The sequence below is a fragment of the Homo sapiens genome, chromosome 8 (assembly GCF_000001405.40).
Source record: "Homo sapiens chromosome 8, GRCh38.p14 Primary Assembly".
NCBI lineage: Eukaryota > Metazoa > Chordata > Mammalia > Primates > Hominidae > Homo > Homo sapiens.
Window position 1 is genome coordinate 40008443 of NC_000008.11, and position 8177 is coordinate 40016619.

At 41.3% G+C, this 8177-nt stretch overlaps 1 protein-coding gene across 2 annotated transcripts in view; it reads left to right on the top strand.

Moving 5' to 3' along the window:
* The window catches only part of IDO2 (indoleamine 2,3-dioxygenase 2), an 81742-nt gene extending 73792 nt beyond the window's left edge, over window positions 1–7950 (top strand). For both annotated transcript variants that reach the window (NM_194294.5, NM_001395206.1), the window contains 2 exons: window positions 5123–5271; window positions 6805–7950. In NM_194294.5, coding sequence (NP_919270.3) covers window positions 5123–5271; window positions 6805–7160 — 505 coding nt within the window. In that variant the 3' untranslated portion in view covers window positions 7161–7950. The remainder of the gene's footprint in view (window positions 1–5122; window positions 5272–6804) is intronic.
* The last annotated feature ends 227 nt before the right edge of the window (window positions 7951–8177 follow it).

Below are 8177 nucleotides of genomic sequence, written 5' to 3' on the forward strand. Positions count from 1 at the left end.
TGATTAGATTCAGCTTACCTAGGTAATTCAGGATAACTCCCTATGTCAAGGTCAACTGATTAATAACCTTAATTACACCTGCAAAGTCCCCTTTGCCATAATATATCATACTGACAGACATGCTATAGCATAATACTAATAGTTCTAAGAATTATGATAAGAATCTTGGAAAACCATTTTTAGAATTATACCTACCACAGTATCCTTCAAGGGATAAATTGATTCTACTTCTTCTCTATGTCAGAAGCATCTGATGAGGATGAACTATATATTCTGAAATCCCCATGATTAGATGTGTACTAGAAGGTGATTTTACTTTCATTAAAATAAATTCGGAGTCATTGACACATTTTATCTTTGATTTACATAAATGCCTCCGCTCTGTTTCTTACCCTCAAAATATTTCCCATGTAGCTAAGTGGCCAGTACCGAATCCTACATGCATTAATAAGTGTAGATGGACAAAAATATCTGGATTACTGAGAATTCCCATTAGCATTGTCTAGAAAAATGTAAATTTGCTTTTTTGTTCTTGATTTATCCTATTTTTGATTTATTATTTATATTTATTTATTTATTTATTTATTTTTAGATGGAGGTCTCGCTTTGTCGCCCAGGCTGGAGCGCAATGGCGCAATCTTGGCTCACTGCAACCTCTGCCTCCCAGGTTCAAGCTTTCCTCCTGCCTCAGCCTCCCAAGTAGCTGGGACTACAGGCACCTGCCACAGTGCCCGGCTAATTTTTGTATTTTCAGTAGAGACAGGGTTTTGCCCTGTGGGCCAGGCTGTTCTTGAACTCCTGACCTCAGGTGATCTGCCCACCTTGGTCCCCCAAAGTGCTGGGATTACAGGCATGAGCCACCACACCTGGCCTTTTTGCTTACTTTTTAAAAACATTTTTATTTAGGAGAATGGAGATATTTCATATGTAGATGACACATATTCATTCCCTTTAGTTCCCACACACATTCAATTTCTTGAGGAAGTTAGCCTTTGCAAAAAAAAAAAAATGATCTCATTTTTTTTTCCCCACTAAAACTTCTCATTTTCTTGGGGTTGCTAGAAAGTTGCTACAAGAAAGGCTAAAAATAATTGTGCCTACAGATATTTGAAAGGAAAATAGTTCCTCTTTTTTCACAGTAGCAGCTTGGACCTGAGAATGTATGGGAGCAATAATTGGGCTGCTCAAAGAAACACAATTTCCCTTCCTCAGACTAGAATTACCAACCTAGAGAACATGAGTTTTTAAAGTAGATGTGCTTCTTTTATCTTTTTGGACTTGTATGCTGGTGTTTTCTCTGTCACCTTCACTGTGGAAATCCTCTTGAGGGTGAGGCACTGAAAGCAGATTGATTAATGTCTCTTGGCCATTTGAGACATTGGATGGCTCTTTTAAGTTGGCCACGTTCTTTCAAGAACTATGCTTGGGCTACATATTCTGGATATATAATACATACTTGTAGGATGTTATTTTTAAATCATTCATTTATCACATATTTAGTGAGTGCCTACCCCATGTCAGTTCTAGGTGCTGGAAATAGAGCAGTAAAACCAACCCTCAACTTGGCCCCTCTGGAGCTTACATTTCAATGCGGTGGGTGGGGGGATGGACAATTAATACACAAGTAAATCTAATAAAAGCGTCATACAATATACATTACAATGGTAAGCACAATGAAGAAATGGAAAGCTGGATAGAGAGTATTAGAGACTGTCGAATGTAGTGGCCAAATTTTCCTGTTTATTGTGGTCCAAGAGTGCCACAGCCCTCTATGACATTTGAGCAGACACCTGGAGGAAGTGAGGGAGTGAGCCGCCAAGAAGGAATGGCAAGTGCAATAACCCTGAGGTGGGAGCGTGTTGGTCGTGGTGGAAGAGCTGCAGGAAGCCAGCAGGGCCGCAACACTCAGGGGAGAATAAGAAAGAGTGAGGTGACAGTAGAGACCGGATCATGTAGAGCTTTGTCAGCTTCTTTTCTGAGTGAGATGGACAACACGGACACGTTTTGAAAAGAATAACAATGTGATCTGCCTTCAGTTGCAAATCATCTCTGTATTGACTGAGTAGGAAATAAACTCCAAGAATAAAGACGGAAACAGGGAAAATATTTAAGAAGCGATCATTACAATCCAGGGTGGTGGCTTGTACTAGGGTACAAGGGCTAAAGGTGTTGAGAAATGGTCAGATTCTGGATATATACTGAAATCAAAGTTGATGGAAAGATATGAGTCAAAGATAATTTGCAGGTTTTGGGGTCCTGGTTCACTGAAAGAACAGAGACATCATTTACTCCAATGAGGAAGACTATAGGAGGAACAGGTTTAGCAAAGAAGAAAGGAAATCAGGAGATCAGTTTGGGGACACGGTCATATCAAGTAGGCAGTTGGATGTATGGGTCTGGAATATAGGGGAGTGGTCTAGCTATCAGTGTAAATAGCTTTTTACATTTGTAAATAGTCAGGATATAGGCTTTTCTTTTTCTTTTTGTGAGACACAGTCTTGCTCTTTCGCCCAAACTGGAGTGCAATGGCACAATCTCAGCTCACTGCAACCTCTGCCTCTGGGTTCAAGCGATACTCCTGCCTCAGCCTCCCGAGTAGCTGGGACTACAGGTGTGCACCACCATACCAGGCTAATTTTTGTGTTTTTAATGGAAATGGGGTTTCACCATGTTGACCAGGCTGGTGTCAAACTCCTGACCTCAATCGATCTCCCCGCCTGGGCCTCCCAAAGTGCTGGGATTACAGGCATGAGCCACCCCATCCAGCTGGGATATAGTTGTTTTCTAAATCTATGAGGCTAGAGAAGACCATTTGGGAATTGAGAGCAGTGAGCAGTCCACGGACTGACCCTTTGAGAGTGCAACATTTAGCAGTACTCAAGATGGGAAGGAGCTAGTGAAAAAGCCCCAAATGACTACATAAGACCATCAACCAGATTACAAAGAAAGACCCGAACATGTGTGCCCATATATCACCCAACAGCAGTTATGTCTTTCATGTTTCTTCCCCATAAAATGTTGTTCATCAACTTTATTAGACTAGGGTCTTAACATTGGACAAATCACAAAACCTCTCTGGAGCCTATTTTATTTTTCAACAGCTGTAGGAAGCAAATACAAATTGGAAATCTAAGGCTCAGAAAGATTTGTACAAAGTTACACAGTAATGAAAGGGGAGCCGGGATTCCCACTCACTCTAAAGAATATGATAAAATGGCTAGTATTCACTGAATGCTTAACATGTTCCAGGCCCTGGGCAGGTATTATTTTAATTAGTTCTCACAATAATCCAATAAGGGAGATACTAATTTACTCAGATGAGAAAGCTGAGGCTCAGAGAGGTTAATGAACTAAGCCAAGGCTCACTGTTAATAAATAGCAAAGGTAAAATTAAATTCCATATCTGCTTGAGATAGAGGCCTTGCTCCTAATAGCTGCAGCCTGTCAGGGCCTGGCAGCAGTAACCTCTCCTTTCCTCTTCCCACCATTCCCCTGCACTGCTTTCTGTACCGCATCTCTTTTCAGAGTGATGTTGCCCCAATTGCGGAGGCCACTGTGCTGTTTATCCAGTGAAAGCTGTAGCACAGCCAACCCAAAGCGTCCCCAGTGAAAACAACCTGGCTCCTTACAGCACTTCCAGCCTCAGAGCAGTATTTGAAAAATATCATGAACAGCAAACACAGCAGTCTGTCTGTGGCTTTTATATGTGTATATGGTGTGTGTGTATGTCCCTTCTCTTGAGCAAAATAACTTTTAGAATTATAGAAAAAAAATGTGCAACATCAATGTGGATCTGCTGTTTAAACTCATAACAGAGAAAGTAGCTTGTTTCTGGCTATAGGAGGAAAAGACGATATTCCTTAGTAAAAATGGAAATCCACATATGGGGTTCTTGTAAAAATGAAGATAGAAAATTGCAAGTTTGGGGATCAAGTTCTGGTTCTATCATCCTTTAACAGTATGACCCTGGAACCTTAATTGCTTTGAGTCTTTGTTACTTTATCTATGAAATGAAGTATTTAAAAAAACTCCAAAAATCTGTCCTGATGTACACACAAGAGGTCAAATGAGAAAATGAATGTGAAGATGCTTTATAAACTATACAGCATGGTAGGTGCAAATGTGACATGAACTTGTTTTGGACACATTATAAAGTCACCCCCACAAACTGTGATTGTTCAAGACTATGCAAAGTCAGACACAGGAAAATAAGTAAAACAGATGGAGGCATAAAGAGGGGGAACTCAGAGAAAACAGTGAAGAACAGGAATCAGGAAGACAAAGGAGAGGAAAGGTGGGGAGGAGAGGAGAAGGAAAGGGGGAAGGGAATGGAGGAGAGGAGAACAGCTGCTTCACAGAGCATGGCCGGCAGCCCAGTCCCAGCCTTTCTGCATGTCCCTGACTTCAGCCTCTGGCGAGGCACAGGCTTACTCTGTGCTTCCTGCTGTTACTCTTCTTATCCATCCTTATTATCAATACCTGTGGTCAACAAAGTATTTGATAAAGGCATCCTCAAAGTCAGGTAACATCTGTACGTTATAGATTACAAAGTTGAGTAATATCCAGAATTGGTAGTTTAACGTGATGACTTCTTAACAATTATCACTGTTTCAGGGAAGGGCAAAGGTGTGTGTGTGTGTGTGTTCATCTGTGTGTATCTGTGTATGTAATTGTGGGTGTTTGTGTATATTTGTGAGGCTCTTTACTTGGCGGAGTTAAAAAGTATCTGCTCATCAAGGTTGAGATTAGCAAAGGAAGTGAAGATTTTTCCAGAGCCCCTAAAATGTGCCTTTTGACCAACACTGAGGACATCTTTATAACTGAGTATGTGCAATAAATATGTCTTGGGACCTGTGCCACAAATTCCTCTCTAAATAGCCTTTACCTCTCTGGAATAACCCTTTAGATGAGGAAGAAAAGGGCTGTGATTTTATAGCTTGTTATGAAGCTGGAGTGAAGATGATGCTTCAGTACTTACCCTACAAAGATACCCCCAATCCCTCACCCTAAAATTACCATTGAAATCATGTTCCCTTTCTCATTCACTCTCAGTTTCCATGTCAGAAAATATACCATTACCTCCCTGCACCCCTTTCATCTCTCTCACTTTTCTCTTGCTTAGATGGAAAGACAACCCAGCAATGCCTGCAGGGCTGATGTATGAAGGAGTTTCCCAAGAGCCCCTGAAATACTCCGGCGGGAGTGCAGCTCAGAGCACAGTGCTTCATGCCTTTGATGAGTTCTTAGGCATTCGTCATAGCAAGGAAAGTGGTAAGTCAGACATTTTGTTTTCCCTTGAGAGTAGAGGGAGGAAGAGGAGAGGTGTTTTTTTTTTTTCCAATTGATAAAACCAAATATAAATTAAAATGTCATGAAGTTTATACTTCTCTAAGTCAGCCAAGAAACTGCATGACTGCCAATGTTTTTGTGTCAAGCCAATTAATATTGGAATATCAGATGTCAGCTTGATCTTGGGTTTTACTTCCAAATCTTAAAATGTTGCTCTGTTTCCAACTGTTCACTATCACTTTGGTTTGGATCTTTAGACACTAGCTTCCTTTTTCTGAAATGGGGGAGAGATGTGGAGTTTGAAGGCTATGAGTCTGGGCCAGCTGGAAACAGGTCTGGGATCTTCCAAGAAAGTCCTTCCCCACAAAATGGTGCAACTTCTAGCCAAATCTATTTATACCAGCAGAGGGATCTATCACCCTGGAAGCTTGAAATTGTTCATTTTCTTACCTGCCAGGATCAAGTTAAGTTTTTAACAGTTGCAAAAAGACACTTCATACTATGGAGTTTTCAAGTTGGATTAGAAGAAAAAGAATCACCAGAACTTAGTGTCGTAGATTCAAGTCACTTCTCTAAAACTGTCATAATTTTTCACGGATTTTGGCATTTGGTGACATTAATGGTTGATTTACTTACCATGCATAATATTAAACCCATAACGAATTTCCTATAAATATCTATTGATTTGATTTTTAAATCACTTGGCTTCAAGAGGCTATTACTAAAACAGTGACTCATTCTTTATCTTTTTTGCCTTCACGGGCTTTATATAACTTTCTCCTTTTCTTGTGCTCCCTCCAAAACAAAGCACTGAGAAAACAAAATTCACCAGAGTATTCAGCTAGTCAGTTCAAGGGTTTGTGTTCTACATTTGAAGATATTCCTTATAGCAGCTACCAACGGGATACTTTGTTTACATTTGTTGTGTAGTAAATATTTATATATTGGCAAACAAATCTAGTTCCAACTCTGTCATCTGAGATGTTCTTACTTTGTTTCCTCTTCTCCATCTCCTGTCAACTGTTAGAAATATACATTTGAGTACGTGAAGTCTGCAAACAAAAGGGCCAAGGTAGATTTGAGTTAGAACACCAGCAACAGTTTCTGGTGCATTCTTGTCTGAAAAAGCAGAGAAGATTGGGCACCGTGGGTCATGCCTGTAATCCCAAAATTTTGGAAGTCTGAGGCAGGTGGATCGCTTGAGCCCAGGAGTTCAAGACAAGCCTGGGCAACATAGCAAGAACCCGTCTCTACTAAAAGGAATACAAAAAAATATTAGCTGGGTGTGGTGGCGCACACCTGTAGTTTCAGCTACTCAGAAGACTGAGGTGGGAGGATCACTTGAACTCAGGGGCAGAGGTGGCAGTAAGCTGAGATCACACCACTGCACTCCAGCCTGGGCAACAGAGCAAGATCTCATCTAGAGAAAAAAAAAATAAAAAAGAAGAAGAAGCAGACGAGCTCTGCTATATTTCCATGTGGAGCTATGACGTTATGCTGTATTGTTTCTTTCAGGTGACTTTCTGTACAGAATGAGGGATTACATGCCTCCTTCCCATAAGGCCTTCATAGAAGACATCCACTCAGCACCTTCCCTGAGGGACTACATCCTGTCATCTGGACAGGACCACTTGCTGACAGCTTATAACCAGTGTGTGCAGGCCCTGGCAGAGCTGCGGAGCTATCACATCACCATGGTCACCAAATACCTCATCACAGCTGCAGCCAAGGCAAAGCATGGGAAGCCAAACCATCTCCCAGGGCCTCCTCAGGCTTTAAAAGACAGGGGCACAGGTGGAACCGCAGTTATGAGCTTTCTTAAGAGTGTCAGGGATAAGACCTTGGAGTCAATCCTTCACCCACGTGGTTAGGAGGCTGCCCTCTCCCCAGCAATGCAGAGCCCCCATGGAGGGCAGGTGGGCCTGGAGAATGAGGGTCAGGGTTCTGCCTGGGATCATCCAGGAAGGATCTCAGCCCTATTCATGTTTCTGCTCTACAGAGCACTATATTCTCCTTGTTGAGAGCTGTTGGCTTCACAAAGGAGAGTTGATGTGGCCAAGCCTTTCCCTCCCTACCTGATCACTGCTTAACGGCATGTATAATGGATACTTCCTCATGCAGAACCCCCAGAGGAGTGACTGTATGCCATTCTCTTTGCCAAGTAATAGAAAACCAATCTAAATGTCAAAAATCAGATAAAATTGCCTGGGGATACATTACTTGTTGATTTTCTTAAAAAACAAATTCACTTAACAATTCATTAAGTTCATACTGAGCACTGCCTCCAAGATTAAAACCAGGATTTCTGTGGTCCCAGACCAGCCCTCTTCTCCCTGAATGTGTTGAGTTGGTGGCAGGAGGTTGGAAATGCTCCAGTGGAGATGGGAAGATAGAGGATGCTGACAATAAGGACTTGGAAGTCACTAGTGTGAAAATGAGCAGTTAATGATATGGGAACGGATGAGACTTTCCACGTGGTACCTAGATTTGCAAATTCTATTGTAATGCCTTTATTTTTAGAAGAATTATTCTCTCTTCTTACTCTGAAAATCTGTATTTGTAAAATGAATGAATGGATCCTATATAAGTAAATAAGAAAACTGGGAATAAGTAGTAAATCAATGTGTTTAGTGTGCAAATAAATGTAAATGCTTTTATTGACTTAGTTTCTTTTTTTATATATATACTTTAAGTTCTAGGGTACATGTGCACAACGTGCAGGTTTGTTACATATGTATACATGTGCCATGACGGTGTGCTGCACCCATTAACTCGTCACTTACATTAGGTATATCTCCTAATTCTATCCTTCCCCCCTCCCCCCACCCCACCACAGGTCCTGGTGTATGACATTCCCCTTCCTGTGTCTAAGTGTTCTCATTGTTCAA